The 23220-nt window shown below is 36.2% G+C and overlaps 1 protein-coding gene and 1 long non-coding RNA gene across 2 annotated transcripts in view; one reads left to right on the top strand and one right to left on the bottom strand.

Moving 5' to 3' along the window:
• Nucleotides 1-23220, bottom strand: part of DIAPH2 (diaphanous related formin 2) — a 920156-nt gene that overhangs the window by 48114 nt on the left and 848822 nt on the right. The gene's annotated exons all lie outside the window — the stretch shown is intronic.
• The window catches only part of DIAPH2-AS1 (DIAPH2 antisense RNA 1), a 36172-nt gene that overhangs the window by 7652 nt on the left and 5300 nt on the right, over nt 1-23220 (top strand). The window lies entirely within an intron of this gene.

Genomic DNA, 23220 nt, shown 5'->3' with positions numbered 1-23220 from the left:
ACACTATAATTGTATATTTATGTCTACCCCTATTTAAATGACGTTTTTGAGTTCAGAGACCGCGTATTATTCATCTTTCTATCCCCAGCATTTAGGATTGTATTTGGTACAAAAAAGGTACCTGTTGTGGGTTGAACTGTGTCCCCCGAAAATACATGTTGAAGTCCTGACCCCTGTTACCTATGAATGTAGCCATATTTGGAAATAAGTTTAATCCAGTGACTGGTGTCATTAGGGGAGAGAGATTTGGAGACACAGAGGGCACACAGAGGTAAGAAGGCCATGTGACAATGGGGGTAGAAATTGGAATGCAAGGAATGCCAAGGTTTGTTGGGAACCAACAGAAGATAGGAGAGAGGAGAGAGACATGGAACAGATTCTCCTTCAGCGCCCTCAGAAGAAATCAAGCCTGCTGACAACTTGATTTTAAACTTCTAGCCTCCAGAAATGTGAGAGAATAAATTTCTGTTGTTTTAAGTCACACAGTTCGTGGTAATATATTACAGCAGCTCTAGGAAACTCATACAGCACCCAATACATTTTTATTGAATGAATAAATAAATGGATGATGAACAACTTAACAGAGGAGATCCTTTTACTCAGTAGAGACTCTATGTTCAGTCCAGTGAATTCTTCAAAGGGTCTAACCTAAGTTTCTCAGTCCGCATAAGAGAGAGTCCCTTGATAACCTCCCTGCATGTTTAATTCCATGATGATTCCGGCTGCAGGGAAGGGGACAGTCATAAAATCCACAGGCAATTAACTGTGTCTCTCTACCATAATTCCCACTGGGAACAGAGGGGAGATCTTGAGGCCACAGCCAAAAGATTTAGGATCATGAATGACTCACTGAAACTGCTTCTCTACCAAAGTTTTGGCTGAAGTGTTGTGCCCTAAAATGGGCCATCTAATGCTGGAGTCCTCATGAGAATGTTCCCCGGTCTGTGGTAGAATGGTAGAGTAACTGCGATTGGCGCTATTACTGTTGTTGCCTAAAAGACCTATTTTAGGGTAAGTTTGTAACAAAAATTAGAGCAATAGACACAGTGTACTCATATTTAAAACCTGGTAAGATTTTGCTTCTTAGCCATTTCATTAATGTAGTCTTTGCTAAACAAACATAACCACCATGACAATCATCTATAACCTTATTATTTACAAAAGGCTTTGACACAGAGTTTTATTTAAAATCAGTATAAAATCATCTTTTACTCATTCTTTTCATTTAAAAGTTCCTTTTCTACCTTACTATCTTTTTTCCCATACTGACATTGATTTCCCTGATTTTTATCTGAAATCCTTTTCTTCATCTGTTTCTAACTTTCTTCAAGTTTTCTCCCACTCACCCTATTTACAACTACAGTCCATCATGTTCATTATAATGATGTCTCTGTAAAAATATTTCAACTCTCACCTTTGCAGCTAGCTCTTTCTTCTTATCTCCTTCACTTAAAAACTGTAGAGTGAAATAAGACACAAAGTTGAAGGTAAAAGAAGACTGCATTTCTTAAAGGCTGCCATATAACATCTTTCCTGAAGAATGCAGACCTAGTTTGCAGCCAGTGGGTATGCAACTATTTCCTTGTGGGCACTAAAGTTATCACCATAATGAAGCAATAGAACTCATTGAGACCCATATTCTTTCTTTCTTCCAGTGATGGGTTTAAGTCAAAACAGACACAGATGAGTAATGACAGGGTCTAAATCCAGAAAGAGAAATATATTAATGATGCAGACACTAGAAACACAGACTGTAAACCACTAAAGAAACACACATACCAAATGTTCCACCAGCCTGTTTTTTTTTTTTTTTAATCTCTTCAGGAAACCCTTGGCTAAAGCCAATTCATAACACTTGGTCTGCTGGCAAAACCCAACATGAACAGTAAAGACCTACAGCTGCCTTGTTGAGAGATGTCTATTAGGTTTATAGTCACTCTTGGTCTGGAAGACCTGTGTAGAGTAGACTAGTTTGTGGGCCAGCGTTGAGACACCAGGCATTATTTTATTTTATTTATGTAGTACACACTTATAGTAAGTGCTATCACTTACTTTGTACCAGGAACTAATCTAAGCACATAACAAATATGAATAAGCTTATTCTTCATAACCTTGGGAAACATATAATCTGATTATCATTTTACAGATGAGGAAAATGAGGCACAGAGAGGTCAAATAATTTGCCCAAGTTATATAAGTTGCAAAGCCAGGATTCAAATGTAGGTATTCCTGAATCTGTAGTCCATATACTAACCATTATTCTATCTTGCCTTTCAGTGAGTTCCTGAAGCTTCTAGACTAATGTGAGTCCAGAGCAGGTTAGGTCTTTAGCCTTTCTCATTTTATTGGATTATGGGTTCATTTCAGGATTCCATCAGCCTTCATGATTTATTCAGTGTATAAGGTATGGGAAAGCTTATAGCAGATGCTGCTGAAGTTATATATGGAATGTATGTAGCCTTTGTCCTGTGAGAATTTAACAATGAGTTAAGCATAAAGGCCATATGTAGACCAGAGAAAAACTTAAGGATAGTTACAAAGCTTTATATGTATCAAGAGATTGCTCAAGCACTGAGAGGAGAGGTAGGAGGGGATTTGGATTTCTATGCAAAAATTCCCCCATAGGTTAGAAGTAGTATCTGTGAGGCAATCACTGGACGTGCTGCTATAGATCATATATATCTGCTTACAGAAAGATGTACCATTTGAGGCTGGTTTCTCTGGCTGACTTTGCTGTTCTAGCCATCATGACAGCAGAACCAGCTGTTAGTTCAACTACACACACTGTTGTAGTGTACCAAACGGAGGCTGGAGAATATGAAAATGAATGTGAATATGTATACATATTATGTATATGAATACATACATACATATATTAATATATGCACATACATATACAAGGTACATATACATATATACACATGTACTAGTGTATGTCTATCTATGTATATAACTAGAAATTGTTGAGTTTAGTATAAACCAGGTATGTGCTGAGTGCTTTACATGAATTATTTTATTATCACATCAAGCCTGATAGTGAGTTATTAAGTAGGAAGAGTCAAGATACAAACCCCGGCTGTCTGGCACCATTGCCATAAAATCTACTGCTTATCATTTGAGTTAGGCCTTAAGCTTTCTCATACTTTTTTAAAACTGTTTTGCCTTTATGCTTTCCCAGCCATTTTCTTCTTCTTCTTCTTTTTTTTTTTTTTTTTTAACCTACTCACTGCATTAAGTTTTTTAAAGCCAGCCAGAGAACACAATCAATAATTTGGTAAAATGTCAAAAGCTGCAATTTTATCTTTCAGCATTGGGCTACACTGGACTTGAATACTTTTCCCTCTTAGCATTTCTATTTCAGGTTTAAACAACTGCTGCATATACAATATCCCCAGTAAAACATCCATTATGTTTGTAATTAAGGGGGTATTAGAAGTTAAAGGCAATAAAATACATCATTTCCATGCCAAAAAAATTCTTATCAATACAGAGTATGACAAAATGTCTGGTTTATTGGCTTATCTGTGGTATGTGAACAACATCCAATTCTCTGTTATGTTTAACAAGGAAAAAAATCAAATGCTATAAAAATGTTGTGAATATTTAATTAATTAGGGTGTATTTTGAAGCAATTCATTTCACATCCTTGGCACAATGTGATAAGCTGATGCAGGTGTAAGGGAAATTGTACAACCAAAGTTAAAAATACATTCAGCACACAAAACAGTAGAATAATATAAATCCTTCTTCCTTATTATAAAGATAAATGCAGTATTATGGGCTGAACTGTGTCTTCCCCAAATACATATGTTGAAGTCCTAACCTGCAGTACCTCAGAATATAACAGTATTTACAGATAGGGCCTTTAAAGTAGTAATTAAGTTAAATCTGACTGGTGTCCTTAGTACACAGAGCATAGAGACAGAGGGATAGTCACATTAGGGCACAGTGAGAAGGGCCAAGGACAGAGGGCTCAGAAGAAACCAAACCTGCTGACTCTTTGATTTTGGACTTCTAGCCTCCAGAATTTTGAGGAAATTAATTTATCCAGCTTAAGCCACCAAGTCTATGGCATTTATTGTAACTGCCCTAGCAAACTAATACACGTAGTAATAACTAAGTCAACAACTATTTGCAGACCTTCAAAGTTCTATGACTTAAAAGTTATTTTTCTTTTGGGTTGTTCATATAGGAACACATATATTGCTTTTCTATATGCAGTTATACTATCATTAAAACAAACAAGCAAACTCCAGCCATCTACCTAGCCATTTATTTTTGGTTTATCTTATAGTAAAAAAAGGAAAAAAAAAAAAAAGAAAAATGTGTATATTCAAAAACAAAAGAGTAATGAGTGAAGAGTGAAATGAATTAAATGTTGAATTTTGAGGTGTTGATTCCAGAGCATAAAAACCTATTCCTCAGAGTAGGTATTCTCAAATACAATTTAGCCCTGAAAGGTATGATTCCATCCATTTGGAAGTCCAGTACTTAATTGAAGCTGTATTACTTACTTATTCAGTTTATTAGTTTATCTGTTTTTTCCTATGTTGACTTCTTGACTTTTCATCTGAACTTTTCATGTTCTTTTCACTAAACAACTTAGTAGGGTTAAGATATCTAGTTTTTCCTTTCTATGGAATATGGTACATAGCTCAATAAGTATTTCATCAAGAAATGAAGGGAACTTTTTTCCCCTTAAGTGGCTTTGTTAATTCCTATACTCAAAATCATTGAGTTTACAACTTAGGAGATAATGCGAAGATCATCTAGTTCACCAACTTCATTTCATGCAAGGGGAGACTCCTAAGGCTCGCAGAGTCTTAGTGATCAGATCACGATCACACAGTTACCAGCTAGAATGAGTCTTCTGATCTAAGTCTATGCTCTTTCCATGATCCTTAGCTGAGTCAGTGCTACTTTCACAAATCACAAAGTCAGAAATGTTTCATGCACAACTGTGGAACAGTTGACTAATTTTCCAGACTTTGAGGTATAATTTGTTGGCTCTCATCTTCACAATGCCAGTCTGGAGAATAAGGAGAAGGCAAAAAGAGATTTCTTAAAAGTCTTATGAATTAAGTTATATGTAAATAGCCAGTATGGGAGACTTCATACTTCGGGAATAATCAGAGTGAGATATCTACCTAGATCCTCCTAAAAATAGTATTACAGAGGAAAAAAGGAGAAAACAACCAATTATAACATTCCTGCTTTACTGAATCATAATAGTGCAAATTTTATTTAATTTTAATTTTTAAATTTAATTTTAATTTTTTTTTTTTTTTAAAAAACGGAGTCTCGTTCTTGTTGCCCTGGCTGGAGTGTAATGGCGGCACGATCTCGGCTCACTACAACCTCCACCTCCCGGGTTCAAGCAATTCTCCCAACTCAATCTCCCGAGTAGCTGGGTTTACAGGTGTGCGCCACCACGCCCAGCTAAGTTTTGTATTTTTAGTAGAGATGGGTTTTCACCATGTTGGCCAGGCTGGTCTCGAACTCCTCATCTCAGGTGATCCACCTGTCTCAGCCTCCCAAAGTGCTGGGATTACAGGCATGAGCCACCACTCCCGAACACTGCAAATTTTAGTTTTCAAATTCATGCAGACTACAACCAGGAAGTGATGGTAATATTGTTTATCATAACCGATAGCTGTGACAAACCTGAAGCCAGGCTTTGGCTGCCTAGTTTGGTGTTACCAGGCAAAATTGTAAAGTAGGTGGCCTTCAATCTATTTTTTCATACCTCTCCCCTGCCTCCTTAATGGCTTTTTAAAATCACCTTCTATGTTTACATAAAAATTTAGGCTAACAACGTTTCTCTTTGACTTTCAAAAAAAAAAAAGTCTTTTTAAAAACATACTTAAGCATTATTTTTAATTGTTCCTCTTTCTTAGAGGAAATTAAAAATGAATGTCCTCTGTGGATATACAGGGCCCTCATGCTACTCCTAATTCCCTTGAGTAGGGGCTCAAACAGGCCCTCTCACCAAAGACCTCTTGCTCTGCATGTCTTCTTTCATTCACCTGGCTCCTCAGTAAAATGTTCCATTCCCTCACAACCCACAAAGTAGCCAGAGAAGAGTAGTTAAAATAAAGGTATGAAATATTGATATTATTAGCTATTCTCATTTCTATTTTACAGACAGATCTGGTTTAACTTAATGCAGCCTGAGTTGGCAGAGGTTATTTGGGAGGTCTTTTGGGCAGAGGAATCTTCCTAATATCCCTTGTTAACTCCTCAGAAGAAAGGTTTTTAAGAACTTCACGTGACATTTAGATCTCTCCTCTAGATTTGGGGCTCAGAGTTAAGTGTCTTTGTCATATGCATGGCAGTGGGAGATGGTCATGAGGCAGAATGTAAGAAACATACCCGACATGTAGCTAAATGTTCTTAGCTTAAGAGCCCATGAGAGAAATAGTGCTCAACTCCAGAATGAACAACCAATTGTCTGAAGTCTATATATGAAAGACCAGATTGTCCCTAACTTATATAATACATATTTTATTTTTATTTATTTATTTGAGACAGAGTTTCGCTCTTGTTGCCCAGGCTGGAGTGCAGTGGCAGGATCCCGGCCCACTGTAACCTCCGCCTCCTGGGTTCAAGTGATTCTCCTGCCTCCGCCTCCGGAGTAGCTGGGATTACAGGCGCCCGCCACCACACCCAGGTAATTTTTGTATTTTTGGTAGAGACAAGGTTTCATCGTGTTGGCCAGGCTGGTCTCAAACTCCTGACCTCAGGTGATCCACCTGACTTGGCCTCCCAAAGTGTTGGGATTACAGGCGTGAGCCACTGCACCCAGCCCATATTTTATGTAATACTGTTTTTTGAAATAGCCATTCTATGTTTAAATGAAACCTTAGGCTAAGAGCATTTGTCTTTGACTTTCAAAAAGAAGCCTTTATTTTAAAACATACTTGGGGATTATTTTGAATTGTTGCTCTTTCTTAGAGAAAATTAAAAATGTAGATATGCCTATGTGCTTACTTGGAGATGTACTATAGCTCTAAAAACTATAATATTTTTAAAGAGTACAGGTAAATTATCTTGTAGAATGCGGATTTGCTTGATGTTTCCTCATGATTAGATTCAGGATATGCATTTTTGGCAGGGGAACTGTTCCAGATTAAAGGAGGTTGAAGAGCCATGATAACTAAATGCAACATGTGGGCTGGGATTTTTTTTCTCTTACTATAGAGAATATTAGTGGGAGAACTGATAAAATTTAAATAAAGTCTATAGATTAAGTGGTAATTTATCAATGTTGATTTACCAATGTTGATAAATGTACTATTATACAAAAGAATGTTCTTATTTTGAAGAAATACACACTTAAGTATTCAGGGGTGAAGGGGCATCATGTTGCAATTTATTCTGAAACATTCAGAAAAAAATAATGTGTGTATGTGTTTCTAGAAAAAAGATTAATAAAGGAAATGCAGTAAAACATTAATATTTGGGGAATCTGGGTGAAGGGGGTATCAAAATCTGGACTAACCTTGTAACTTTTCTGTAGGTCTAAAATTATTTCAATATAATTTTTTTAAAGCTATAAAATAGTTTGAATGTGTTTATGCACATGTTAGATTACTCCCAAATTTACATGTATATTTAGGCAAGGAGATCTGAAAGGCAAATTTCAACCTGAAACTTTAATTTCTAAGATCTACTTCACAGTAAATCAAACCCAAATGCTGAAGCTATTTAGCAAGCCTGCCTGTCTACAAATTGGATCACAGTGAGGGGAATGAAAGGAAATAAATTAAATAAAAAGTAAGTTAGTCACAAAATGTTATAAATTAGAAATGTTTTAAAATTAGTTTCTTTTTCTTTTCAAATTTAGATGATAAAATATTTTATCAGCACTTGGGAAAATTACCCGTCATTTTATAAATGGGCAGGCCCTTAATGTGGGCCTTAATATACAAATAACTGCAAAATTCCAAAATACACTCTCTTTTAAAAGTAACAAATATATTAATTCACTTTATATCAGTTGCAAATAAGTTAGTACTTTGTTAGGACACGTCTCTAGTTCCTACTGTGACAAGAAAAAACTTTCACTGCAATATAATGGTTTAAAGTAATATTGGTCAATTAATTAAATCAGGCCATATTCCAGAAGACCAAGTTATATTAGACTTTTTACAGATAATTTTTAAGGTATCACTTTGCACAGAGAATACAAGTAAAAGTATACATGACACATACACAGAACCATTCATAAGAAATGAAAAAAATATTACATTGCTTTAAAGGCAATGTGAACTTTGCAGAGAAGTGGGGTTGTATTTAATCTCCAGTGCCCACATCATTGTACATTCAATTAAATTAGATTAGAAAACTGGGCCATGTCACTGAGTGCTGATGCCTTTTCATGATTCAGAAAAGCAACATGGCTTGTGGAACCCTCCTGACATGCCATTCTTTCTAGCCAAAGGCCATCCCTGCTCTTTAGAGCATATTCAGAAATGAGGCACAAAATGAAAACTCACAACAAAGAGCCGCAGAAGAGTCATGGAGAGTGAGTCATACTGTTTGGGGCAGGCTGTATGGCCATGTAATCAGGAAAGAAGAGGGGAACAAATTCTTTAGATTAAAAATGACCTTAAAATTGTGCATCGACCAAAAATTGTGTGTGCATAGGTGCACAAGAGAGAGAAAGAGAGAGACACACACAAAATAAGAATGAATGAATGAATAGGGAATTTGACTTTGGATTGCACAAGGTATCCTCAGGTCTGCTCTTTTCTCTAGAAGGGAGTAGTTTCTGTTGTCAGATATTAGAGCATGAACTTGGACCTTTCCCAGTGGTCACATGAGCATTACTATCAGCACTGTTTAGCCCAGACCAGTAAACAGGAATTGATGCTGAACTCATTACAACTTAGTCCCGACAGGCTTGATATTTATGGAGTGCAAATATAAATGAGTTTCTTAAATAGGGAAATGATATGGAACAACACAAAGATCAAACAAAGGGTTCAGAATCAGGCAGATCTGGGATCAACTCCTAACTCTATCATTTGCCAGATGTATGGCCTTAGGCAACTAATTGAACTTCTCTGGGCCTTGATTTCTTCATCTATAAAATGGGGATAATCATACTTATTCTGCAAAAATTCTTTGAGGATTAGATGAATTGACAGAGCTTGCCTCACATTGATACAAAAAAGTGTTCGTCACGAGGGAGAAAAGGTTGGAATGCCATAAACTGAAATGAGGCATGTAAAAAAGGAAAGGTTATCAACATTCAATCTGAAGGCTGATTTTAAGCACAGGCTTGCATAGAAATCCAAACAGCACCTATGCAAAGTAAGAGGTATGCTGGTCAGACTTCAACATCTTTTGTTAGGTTTTTATTATGTCTGTTTGATGTTAGAAGAGAGTTGCTGACACCTCTCAATTATCCACAGGTCAGTATCTAGATTTTGGCCTTGACTTCTTACCATTTCTTGTTATACTCTTCTTATTCTGCTTGTTGACATTTGTACTTCTCTTGCTTTAGCACAGCAAAAGCTAGAAGACAAACTCTATTCAACTTAACCAGATTAAAACTTCCTGTACCCAAAGCAGGGGTTGAGTTGGACAAGTGATGTGTCTGAGCTAGACAGAAGACAATTTCTTGTTTTACCATCAGTCTGAGTGGTGGTGCCAATGATCCCTAGCAAGAGTGGGGGAAGCAGGGAGAAAAGGTGAGGCATCAATGGGCCTTCAGCTCTTTCTGACTGGGGTCCTCGCAGTTGGATCTCATTCCTTCATGTCAAGTAGAATGATGCTCATCACATGAGCTGCATCCATATTCAAATGCTTACTATAGAACAGAGTTATGAATAAGAATAATTTGGAGTTGCATGTGTTACAACTTCTTCTTAAGTTGCATGATAAAACAGATAGTTAACTTCAAGCAAACTGCTGCCTGGTATTTGAAAATAAGTGCAAGTGAGTGACACACATGAGGTCATATAGTCATACTACACAGAAAGAAATACACTCTTCCACCTTACTGCCTCACTGAGAACATGATTGTAACTTTTTTTTTTTTGAGACAGAGCCTCACTCTGTCGCCGAGGCTGGAGGGCAATGGCGCGATCTTGGCTCACTGCAACCTCCGCCTCCTGGGTTCGAGTGATTTTCCTACCTCAGCCTCCCGAGTAGCTGGGATTACAGGCATGCACCACCACGCCCAGCTAATTTTTGTATTTTTAGTAGAGACGAGGTCTTGCCATGTTGGCCAGGCTGGTCTTGAACCCCTGACCTCAGGAGATCCACCTGCCTTAGCCTCCCAAAGTGCCAGGATTACAGGCGTGAGCTGCCACTCCCAGCGAAGATCGTGATTGTAATTTTATACTGCCTAGTGGATGGACAACTTCTATTGGCAGCGTCATGACAGCTAAATGTACTGATGGATGGTACGTGATGGTACTGTGTAGCTTAGTTAGAAAAAAAGAGTGGAGGGGAAAAAAATCTACAAGGTTTTATGCCTGTTTATCAGTCTCTCAACCTTTTATAATTTTAAGGGACTTTAAATCTAAGACATGAGTAGCTAAAAAATGATGAAAGATGAAAACTGAAAATTAAGAGCTATATATTATTAGGTTAATGTGAGTTAGCACCTCTCTGGTAATAATAGGACAGTTTGCTTTTAGAGACTGAGTTGTGATATCAATAATTGTTAGTACCAGTATTTGACAACAAAATTCATTTGGGGAGAGGGAGGAGCAGGATTCCTTGCTTTTAGAAAAACACGATTTAAACCTCATGCAAATCAATTTTTGTGTTATTGTACTGAATTTTCCTATGATTTCCAAAGGATCACCTTATAGACTTAGTCATATAGATTGTCCATATATTAAGTCTCATTCGAATTTGACAAACTTTTCTAAGTGAATGAAAGTTGATTTTCCCCACCACTGAGAAAGAACTATACCCTTCCATTTTAACTCAGTTAAAAGTGGGGAGGAAATATTAAAAAGTAAAGAACAGCTTCTGAATTCAATTTATTCTTTTTTTCCCATTAAGACTAAGTTGAAAATTGGATATCCAATTTACCACCGAGAGGGTATTCAAATATTCCTGCTCAATCCCTCATTGCTTCTAAATTCACTCAAAGGCAAGATTATTAATTCCTCCTGACAGAAAATCAAGATTTAATGAGCAGCTGACAGCCCTTAGGAATTACGGGAGAAATTTAATATGATAGTTTTGACTAAATAATGTGCTTTTACATATATGAGAAACATATTATGCAGAATAATGAACATACAGTAAATGTTAGTTTAGCTGTTAAATCTTGGACAAGTGATTAATTTTTTAAGAATATATATATATATATATATATATATATTTTTTTTTTTTCATCAAACTTAAAAAAGAGCCACTTCTTTTCCAACATTGTTACCTATGCATTTTAGCAGATGGCCACAATATTTCCTCACATTCATTTTTAATTCAACTAAACAGTTATTTTGCCTCTTATTAACTGCAAAGTATGTTAGGAGATAGAACAAAATGATGTCTCTACTTTCAGGTCTTAAAATTTGGTGGATGGTGGAGACAAGATACAGAGACAACTCTAGCCCAAAGAGGAATTAAGGTGCAATGGGAGATAAACAAGGAGAAATAGCTTTGGATTTGAGGTAGCAGTGTGTGTATTCAGGAGAAAAGTCTTCATGAAGAAATCTGTGTTTGAAACGAGCCTTGAAGAGTGGCTAGGGTGAAAGTGATCAACAAAGACATAGAGGTAGGAAAGGTAAGATATAGTCAGAGAAAAGGGCATCATTCACTTAGGATGGAGTAAAGGGTAGATGAGAGGAGTAGGGGAAAATATACACAGAAAAGATCTACTGGGGCCCAGTGCGGTGGCTCACACCTGTAATCCCAGCACTTTGGGAGGCTGAGGCTGTGTCTTTGCTATTCTCACAGCTGCCGGGTACACCATGCTTGTGTACATAGTAGGTCTGTAATAAAAACTCTGGGAATTGAATAAATTGTAAAATTATTTTTTCAATGCATTAAAAAAAGTTTACTTTTTCTTAAGCCTTCTTAAACCTCTTTAAAAATACGTTAACTTGCCTTTCTAAGATGAAAACATGAAGAGAATGTTAACCCAATGATTCAGACAACTTATAGAGTGCCACCTGAAAGAATGCCACTGCTGAAGCTCTGGTAGTCTGTACAGTCTGGTGACCCTTGAACCAAAACTGTTAAAGTAACATCTTGTGGTACATGTTATAGGAAAACTGACTTTTAGTAAGTAAAAATGACCTGGCCTAAGTTACTTCTGTATAGGCTTTTAGCTTTCAGACAGCCTCCACAGGGAAGTAATATCAAGACTAAAATCGGTGTGGAAAAATGGAGATGCAGCAACACTGTGTCTGTGTACTGAGATGATTTCTGGCCTCTCCTCTCTTTAGAGGAACACTCTACAACAAACTAAAAAGAGGCTGCTAACAATCCACTTATAAGTTTCATTTTGTTGATGGTAATGACAATTGAATCACTTTGGTTTGAGATACTCTATGTCATGGTTAACATATCACATAAAATAATATGCCTTTAAGTATGTATATTACTGATTTAATATTGTACTAGCTTTCATTTTTTGGAAAGAAGATATGTTTTCTATGCTTGGAATGCAATTTAAATAAGCCTTACCAGTCTTCCCCTTCCCTTCCAGCTACAATTTCATGTGCTATTATTTGTATCTCTAGTGAAGTGCTGGGGTGACAATTGAAGGAGTTTGACAGGGAAGGGCACTTCTTGTGCTTTTGATGAATAAGTATAACATGAAGCAATTTCTTTTCTATCAATGGTCAATAATGCACTTAGGAAGAATGTTTAACAATTATTATAATAAAGCATCAAACGATCTATTTACATTTAAGGTTTCTGATAGATCTGAGCGCGATAGAGAAATCATAGTACTTGTTTATTGAATGAATACAATGTAAATATTTCTCATTATTATTAACTTTTAAGAGAGTCAAAATATGTAGAGACATTTTAAAAATTGTTAAATAGAGGCTGTACCGGGAGCACTATACAATGGTGGACATTAAAAATAGTTCCTCCTGGGCAGGCATGGTGGCTCACGCCTGTAATTCCAGCACTTTGGGAGGTTGAGGTGGGCGGATCACTTGAGGTCAGGAGTTTGAGACCAGCGTGGCCAACATAGTGAAACCCCATCTCTACCAAAAATATAAAAAATTAGCCGGGTGTGGTGGTGCACACCTGTAATCCCAGCTATTCGAGAGGCTGAGGCAGAAGAATCACTTGAACCTGGGAGGTGGAGGTTGCAGTGAGTCAAGATCGCATCACTGCACTCCAGCCCAGGGTCGACAGAGTGAGACTCTGTCTCAAAAAAAGAAAAAAGAAAAAAAAATTCTTCCTAAGAATGCACCACATTTGCCATGATTATTTTCATATTCCTGTAAATTCTGTGACATTTTAAATATGGACACATACTATGTGCACCTTCTTCCATGTAGAGGTGGAATCCATTTCATTACCCCTTTAACCTGGGCTGGCCTTGTGAACTCCTTTGACCAACAGAATGCAGTACAAGTAATGATGTGTGACTTCTGACCTAGGACTCAAGAGACTGTGTAGTCTCCATTCTTGACTTCTTGGAACATTACATGCGCCATGTAAGAAGCCTGAGCTCCCTTCTGGAGAAGCCATGAAATTTGAAATGCTGGGCTGACATTGCCAACTAACCACCAAACATATGAATGGGACTACCCTGGACCAATGGGCTGCAGTTTTGTGAGTGACTTCAGATGAGACTAGTGGCAGGAACTGCCAGGCTGAAGCCAGCCCAGATTGCAGAATCGTGAACAATGATTTTAAGCCATTAAGTTTTGGGTAGTTTGTTCTACAACAACAGATAATGGAATATACTTTCTGAGAATAATACCATTTATTGAGCCCCGCATTCTTTCTACTCTTGTCTTGTTGGTTCTTTGCACTTTTCATCTTGGTCTTAGCCTATTTATTGAGTATTTCTTGGGTTTAGAAAACACTCCCTTGTCGTTTTCCCCACCATATATCGGTTATGTTTTTGCTACTGAGTTTAGCTTATATGTTTAAGATCAATACAAGCAGAGTCTTGCATTCCAGGATACGTAATGATATAACCATCACCCACAATTCTGTCAGGGAAGTGAATTGGATTGTCTCCCTTGGCCATGGTGTCACTGATAGGTAGAATGTGTGAAAGGGCAAAAAGCTAATCCATCAGCTTTGAACCTAAAATACCATCAAGAAAGATATGCTGAGAAGTCCTGTTTCATCACACTTAACAGGTAATAGTGAATTACCTTTTCTGAGCTGGCACTCAAATAACTGCCTTCGCTTAGAGCAAAATCAGGATATGGGATTAAATGATCAAACCTATGTTGATATTTACTTACACATAATACAAATAAGATACCCATAATATACTTGAGTTCTCCAAACAAATACTTTAGTGTGGAATTCTGGGCCTGTAGCATCCAGAATGTAGCATCCAGAATTTAAGCATTCAGAAATGCTTAAACTCTCCTATAAGCCTCCACTAGGGTGTTGTCCCAGGGTCTTACCCATCCCTCAACTTGGAGCCTGAAAAACTTACTGAAGACTTTCTGACTGGGAGGTTGACATAACTTACCACACAACTGTTACAAATTAATAAGGCCATGGAAACAGCTCTAAGATGCCTATCAAACTGCTTAATCTCATGCCTATCGGATAATGCATTTCAAATCAGCTCTCTGCTGATTCACTAACGTCAGTTAGGCCTACACAGTGCTTCCAAGTAGGCTTATATGCAAAAACTACCAGAAAAACTGATCATTAACTTTCTTCTCAACATGTTGTATTAGGAGATTTCAGTATCTTTCTCTGCATGACTTTTTTGCAACCCTCATACAATTTACCCCCCAAAAATTTTAAAGCCCAACATGATCCTAATTGGTAATTTAAATTATACATTTTTATTTCTCCTAGGAGGAAACAGAAAAATGCTTCTTTAGAATTATAGAAGGATGTTTATCTTTGTTTTTGTTACCATGTTTCCTGTCCACTCTCTTGTCCAGGGCACATAAAGGAAAAAAGATTCTAGAAAGTAATCAGTGAAGTCAGACTGCCATGGGGTATGAACAGGTGTAGGCTCACCCTCACATGTGTGTGCACATATACACTATGAACACAGGAAAAGAGAACAATCACTCTGGGTTTGTCCCCCATTCCCAGCCCAAGTATATCATGGCATAGAAATGAAGATACATCTGCATTTCCTTGGAATATGGCAGAAATGGATAGAGAGTCACAAAGGACATATTTTGGATTGTTATACCTTCCTGTTGAGTACTTCATTAATCTGTCCCCTTTTGCACACCATATGTGATATGCGGCAATGTTGACTGGAAAGATAACTTGAGAGGATGGAAGTTTGCTTTCCTCTGTGATATGAATTTGCTTTCCCTTCTCCTAGCTTCAGTTATGGTATCACAGTACTTCTTTGTGATCTCATAATGATTCCTCTAGTATCTATAAAACTCATTTCATCCCAATTTTAAAAGTGCTAAATGCAAATGCTGCAGTGAACAAGTGCTGAGTACCCTAGTAAGTATCTAAGTGGATTGGGACCCTTGCTAAATGTAATTAAGTCTCTTCTCTTCTACTTAACCCTTGACTCTATTTTTCTTTAATTTCCTTGGCTTCCGAAACAGAATTCTAGTTTGTCGCTTAATATTTTGGAGGAAACGTCATGTTTAATTGGGAAGTTAGGTTATCCATGAGGCATGGGTGATTTTTATTGTACTTATAAGATAGTTTATTTTTCTTATCTCCCTGCTTATGCTTGCTAGCACTTCCTCAGATTTTTTCTCTCTCCTGAGAGCTCAAGAGAGACACATGTACATATGAACATACTGCCACTAGTAAGCTCAATGTAGTTGTATAAACAATTACTTTAAAAGTCACAGAATTATTGTAAATATAACATTTTAACTATCTATAACTGATGATTAACAAAGGTACGGAAGGTCATGCATCTTCATTTCTAGAAAATATTTCCAACAAAGCTGCCACATTACTGTTTTGCTTCTAGTCTATCTTTATAGCTCATTATTATTTGTCAAGCACTTGCCTGTACAGTGTTAACATTCTGCAGCACCTACCATTTTATACGTGATTGATTTGTATATTTATTTATATCTTCTAATTGGTTGCATAATGATCAATTCTCTATTAATAAGTTGGTGATTTTTTCTTTGCGTTTTTAATTTACAACATGACTTTTAAAACATGCAAAACAATGAAATATGATTTAAACCACTGTGAAGCTAACTATGACTTCACTTAATCTCAGCAAGTTGCTAATTACCAGAAAATTCTACTGCAAAGTTTGCAAATCAATTAAAAACTATTCAAATCTGGTTTGCATGTTTCCACAAGGATAAATGATATAGCATATTTTCTCAGCTCCTGCGAAGGTGTCTGTTCCCATTTGACATTCCCAACTTCCTGGAACTCTTCTTTGTTTAATTAAACACACATGAGCACGTGCATGGGGGTGGGAAGGGAAACCAGACAAAGGTAAACAAAACAATAGAAAACTGTGTCCATTCATCTAAGCCTTAAAAAAATGTAAAAAATTTTCACTCAGATCCTATCAGTGACTCACTACTGTACATATATTTCTATTCTGTATCCCAAATTGAGCAATTTTGGGCAAATACTTGCTAATGTGAACAGTGTACTGAGTATGACAAGGATAGAAGACAAGCATTGTCTTTAGGGATCTTTCACTGATAGAGCAGATGGATAATCATGGGCCAGTCACTTAAATTAATGCTTCTGGAAAGCAAAACACTGTTTATCCAGTGGCATTTCTTTGCTCATTTCCTTCACTTGTAAATTCAGCATAATCCTAAATAATCTATAATGGGGTAAACATGCAACTCATGTCTTAATGGATGAGTATTATATCCTTATAACATGGTGGGGACAGTATGTGAAGTAAGTATAAATTTGTGTATTTTTTTGTGGTTTGTTTTCTTATCTTCCATGGTACCTTCCAGTAGAATAGGGTCTTAAGATAGAATTAATTCAGTTACAAGAAAATAAAGAAAATTACATTTCTTATGCATCTTAGTTTACTGATTTCAGATTCATACCAATTATATCTATCAAAAGACTATGATTTCTAAGCTCTTTTAAAATTAAGTGCCAAAATTAAATGAATGAATAAACAAAATAACCTGTCAAAAGAAGTTATACATATCTGTCTACACCAAGGGAGTCTTAATGTGATTGCCAGGTACCTGTTTGTTCGTCTTGTACTATTGCTTTAAAACTAAATTATTCTGCTTTTAGAAAATGACATAGGCTGGTATCTGGCTTAAACCTAATGAAACTCAAGCGAATTCCAATTTTGAACCTTCAATTTCTTCTAGAATTTGGCTTTTAAAAACCCCAAAATATTTGAAGGTCGGTATCAAGAAAAGAGAGGAAAGACTACATTGTTTTATGTCAGAATTTTGTCACTCCTTTTACCCTTTAGAGAACCTTGGGCCTTCTGTGGAGACCTCTCTGGGAGATCTACTCTAATCATAATTGAAAATCTGACTGTATTTTTTTCAAGCTGCAATGCCTCACTGCCATTTTTATAGTTAAGGCACCACAGAGAGTGGGATGGACTGGAATCATTCTGACCACTGACAAATATTTTGTGCATTGAAAGATTTTGTGGGAGGGTAAGCTATATAGAAAGCTATTTAATTCTTTTGATCGGGTTACAAAACCAGTTGTCTTAATGCAGTGAGCAAGGTGATGTTGTTTTTTTCTTCTTCTTTCTAAGTATATTTAACATTTAAAAATGAAAGTGGTCTGTGGGTTGTAAATGAAAACAAAACGAAAAACAAAAACTAAAGACAGACTGATTAAATATAGTTCAAGTTATTCTCAGTAGTATTAAGATACAGAATCCTAGTGGAGTCTTGAATCTATGTATGGGGCAACTTTCTTTATTCAGTGTTTTAGAGATGGATCTACTTAGATAGAAATCAACCACAAACGAAAAGTCAATTTAGTTTATCTTCACTTTTGACTTTATTTGAGAGGGAGTTTCTGGCTAGCACAGCATCCTTTTCAATTTGTTTCAGTATAATGTGCAGCAGATACACTTGATTAATGAACTGATTAGCAACTTCTTTAATTCTTTTCCAGTAGTTTTTTCATTATCAAAGCTGCAGTGAATCCATAAAGTTAGTGTTCTTTAACTTTAGTAAAAACTTTATAAACAAATTTTTTTTTCCTAAAAAGGATTAACAGAAAATATTAAAAATGTTTAATTTCAAAATAGGTTTCTAAGACCTCTCTTACATATAAATCCTGTATCTTTCATTTCTCTAAAAGCTGTAAATGCAAGGGATCACAAAGCTTTCACAATATAATAGTTAAGATTATACTAAGCAATATGGAGAAAATTCTAGATTTTATTTATAATTCAGTAATCTTTAAGCCATATTATGTATAGAAATGATAGAAATAAAATATTCAATAATTTAGTACAAAGATAAACCAGGCTAGATATTGGATTTGACTTCTGTTAATGACATATTGCTGCCTAATAAATTATGGCAAAATTTAATGGCTTAAAACAATAAATATGTATTACCTCACAGTTTCTATATGTCAAGAATTTAGTCTTGGCTGGGCGCGGTGGCTCACACCTGTAATCCCAGCACTTTGGGAGGCCGAGGCGGGCAGATCACGAGGTCAGGAGATCGAGACCATCCTGGCTAACATGGTGAAACCCCGTCTCTACTAAAAATACAAAAAATTAGCTGGGTGCGGTGGCGGGCGCCTGTAGTCCCAGCTACTGGGGAGGCTGAGGCAGGAGAATGGCGTGAACCCGGGAGGCGGAGCTTGCAGTGAGCCGAGATCGCACCACTGCACTCCAGCCTGGGCAACAGAACGAGACTGTCTCAAAAAAAAAAAAAAAAAAGAATTTAGTCTTAGCTTAAGTAGTGTATCTGGCACAAGGTCTATTATGAGGTTATAGTCAAGCCACTGATCAAGGCTTCGATTTCAAATAAGGTTCAACCAGGGCAAGACCTTCTTCTAAGTCCATTCACATGGCTGCTGGCAACCAGGTTTTCCTGGACATGTGGCCCACTCTATAAACTGCTTAAGTGTCCTCACAACATGGAAGCTCATGATCTGTGAGACAGAGAGTGAGCACAGAAGATGGAAGGGAACCACATTCTTTTTATAACCTAATCTCAGAGGGGACATCCCATCAATTTCTCCTTCTATTGTTAGAAGCCAGTCACTAGGCCAACCCCAAACTCAAAGAACATGAATACCAGGAGGCAGGAATCATTCGGAACTATCTTAGAGGCTGTTTACCACACCTAACTAACCTGTTAAAATTAAGTGAACGTATCTACTTAAATAAACTCAAGCCTTATTATAGCATCACTTAAGTGGTTTCTGTCTCTTCCCGTCTATCATGATTGCCCAATAGACATTCAAATATAAGATAGGATTTTGAAATTCTACCACTCAAAAACCTCTAATACAGAATGATGTTCAAACTCCCCAGTCATATATTTGGCCTTCCAGGATCTGACTTCTCACTCTAGTTGCACTGGGCTACTTGTAAACATTGCATGCTTTTCCATCTTTATGCCCCCTCTATCTGAAATACCTCCCTATCCTCCTAGCCCATTTTTACCTACTGACGTTTCCTGCATTCATTTAGGGCCCAATTCAAATACTTTTTCTGCCCTTAATGCTTCTGAGATGTCCCTAGTAAAATTCAATCCTTCTCTCCTCCATATGTCCATATAATTCAGTTTTACCTCTATTGTGAAATATGAATATATAGTGTAATAAAAATATGTGAATATATATGTTTGCTTCCTCCAATGAACTATATGGTCCTTGAAAACAGAGATTATGGTTTATTCAGCTTATTTTCAACCCTTACAGTACCTAGCACAATACCGTGCTTATAATTCAGCAGTAAAGAAATGTATTTTAGACTTAATTGCTTGTGTACAATTTCGTATAATTTTTATATAATCCAGGTCTGTATTGTATCCCACTCAATCTGATGACATGCTCTTTGGTGACAGAGTTTTATGAGGTTTCAGGGTACATGATTTTCAATCCAATATTTAAACATACTTGAAAAAAGTGTAACTGAACTGTTGGATTTATGGGAGAAAGGTGTGAAGCCAAAATGCTATAGAAAGAAGAGGTAAGTGATCCAGTACAGAAATTCTACAAACAGGTATTTCTAGCATGGAATATTTGAAGACATTGGTAATTTGATATACTCTGATACAAATATGAAATTGTTATGTGTATTTTAATATACTTGTCATACCTGTACAATAGTCTACTTAAAAAGAGCTAGTCAAAATGTTGAGGATAAATTTCATGTAGTAATAATGTGTTAAGATCAGAATAATAGAATTTTTAAAAAATTTAAAAGCTGACTCATATGATATTTTCATTCCAATGAGCCAGAAGTACTAGTGTGGCTTCATATGGTCAATACTATATCTGAGTGCTTTGATGACAAGGGCTCTTCATGGAAAATTCCACATTGAGTTTTCAAGGTGAAAAATGGTCTTAAGTTTTCAGTGAGATTTATTTTGTCCTTGTCCATAAGATGCTACATATTATAATAGCTGAGCCTGAGTTAGCACTGATAAGCTTTTAAAATTATATTTCCTTATGATATACTTACCTGCATCTTCCTCTAATTCCTCATTTAGTAAACTTCTTGAAATTCTTAGAATCCTTTGATATTAAAAGTGTTCCCTTTGTGTGGTATCCCTATGAAGTATAAAGCAATTGTATCATTTACATAGCACTTTCCCTAAGGATGTGTAAAAGGTTGGAATGAAGACTCTATTCTCTGTTGTTTGTATAAATTGTGTTCACCAATGTTACCATGTACTGGGACCATAGTCTTTTAATCACTTCCTATTCTTATTCTCTATAACATATAGTACTTGAAACAATAATCAGTATATATTTGTATACTTTGTTATTTAAAAAATATAAAGCTAGATGATAGTGACCTTGGGCATGATCTATTCTTTACCAAGTATTTAAAAACCCCATTTGGCCGAGTGCAGTGGCTCACGCCTGTAATCCCAGCACTTTGGGAGGCGGAGGCAGGTGGATCACTTGAGGTCAGGAGTTCGACCAGCCTGGCCAACATGGTGAAACCCCGTCTCTACTAAAAATATAAAAATCAGCTGGGTGTGGTGGCGCGTGCCTGCAATCCCATCTATTTGAGAGGCTGAGGCAGGAGAATCGCTTGAACCCAGGAGGCTGAGGTTGCAGTGAGCCGAGATCATGCCACTGCACTCCAACCTGGGCGATAGAGTGAGACTCTGTCTCAAAAAAATAAATAAATACAATTAGAAAAAAAACATTTTATGGTATACTTTCAGGGACTTTCTGATTTTAAGAATCCAACATCACTGTTCATATAACATTTAACTTTCCCAATACACATATCTTTTAAAATAAAATTTTATTTTAGAATAATTTTAGGTTTAAAGAAACATTGCAGAGATAGTATAAGAGTGCTCATAAACTCTGTACCCACTTTCCCCTGTTGTAAATATCTTATACTAGTGTGCTACATTTGTCAAACAAATAAACCAACATTGATAAGTCATCATTAACTGAAGTCCATACTTTATGCAAATTTCCTTAGTTTTTACATACTATCCTTTTTCTGTTTCGGGATCTCAGCCAGTATACAGCATCACATGTAGCTATCACATCTCTTTGGGCTCCTCTAGATTGTGACAGCTTCTTAAACTTTCCTTGTTTCTGATGACCTTGATACTTTTGAGCAGTAATGGTCAAGTATTTTGTAGAATGTCCCTCAATTTGGGTTTGTCTGACAATTTCCGCATAATTAGACTGGGGTTATATGTTCTCGGGGAAGACAGAGGCAAAATGCCATTCTCATTGCATGAAGAGAACATATTATCTACCTGTCTTATCACTATCTCTAATGATGTTGATCTTGATCACCTGGCTGAGGTAGCCAATTGACCTACTTTTCATCATTTTTGTTTATCCAAAAGGCATTAGAGACTTAATGAAGTAACTAGAAAATAGTCACATAAGCTATTTAACCTATTTCACCTTACATATGTATATACTAAGTAGTCAGGATTCATGAGGATGTTAAAATTTTTCTTTCATTGTAACACTACAATAAGCTATTTATGGAGAATGTTAAGTAGAAAAGATTAAAATTTTAAAATTAAGAAATAAAATTAGGGTTATTACACTGAATAGAAGTTGCCTTTTGTGCAGTTCACTAAATATATAAAATACTGATTTGCAGAACTTACATAAGGATTTTTATAGTATAATATTTATATGTATATAATAAATTTTAATCTTTTTCAATGTGATAACTGAAAACTCTCATCTTCAATTCTTGAACATGACCAAGATATTTAGTAAATAAATGATACACATAATTTATAAGAATGGGGGTGAATGAAAACCATGTAGAAAAATTTAAGTAATCCTAGCCACAAGGATTTAGGCAATGTGGAAAGGCAAAAGAATAAAAATATATAAATTAAATAGAACATGACTAAATGAATGAGGTGATAATTTGTTAAAGAGATGGAAAAGCAAAGGCTGAAAAGTTTTAAAGTAAACAAATTCCAGAAAACTAAAGTAGTTAAAAAACTATAGAATTCTTCCATTTAAGTCAATAAAAATGCTTTTTTTTTAAGCAACACTGAAATTTTGTATATGTATACCCAGAGTACAACTTGTTGCAGAGCATATATACTGACTGTGAACATAAGTATTGATTCTAGAGCAAAAATCATTTGCTTTTAATTTCTGCTCATTTTGGTTGAGTTAGAATGAGTAAACTACTCAGAGGATACAGATCACTACGATTCCATAGAGAGCAATTTCCTTTATTAGAACATTGTCAAAGGAAATCAACGGTATTCTTCAGAAAATTACCAGAGTAAATTATTGTTTTTCTTCTCATTCCAAAAGAAATTAATACAAGATGACATGCAACTGTTGTGGTAAAGATTGGTTCAGGAATGAATCATCAATAGTAGTTAAGGCTAGAGGGGGAGTTTGATGTAGAGCAATATATTTACATGGTCGTAAAGTGTCTTTCCACAGATTGCTTATTAGTTGAAACAGAGA

The sequence above is a fragment of the Homo sapiens genome, chromosome X, assembly GCF_000001405.40.
Source record: "Homo sapiens chromosome X, GRCh38.p14 Primary Assembly".
Lineage (NCBI taxonomy): Eukaryota > Metazoa > Chordata > Mammalia > Primates > Hominidae > Homo > Homo sapiens.
The sequence above is the reverse complement of the archived record's forward strand: the minus strand, read 5'-3'. Positions and strand labels throughout refer to the sequence as shown.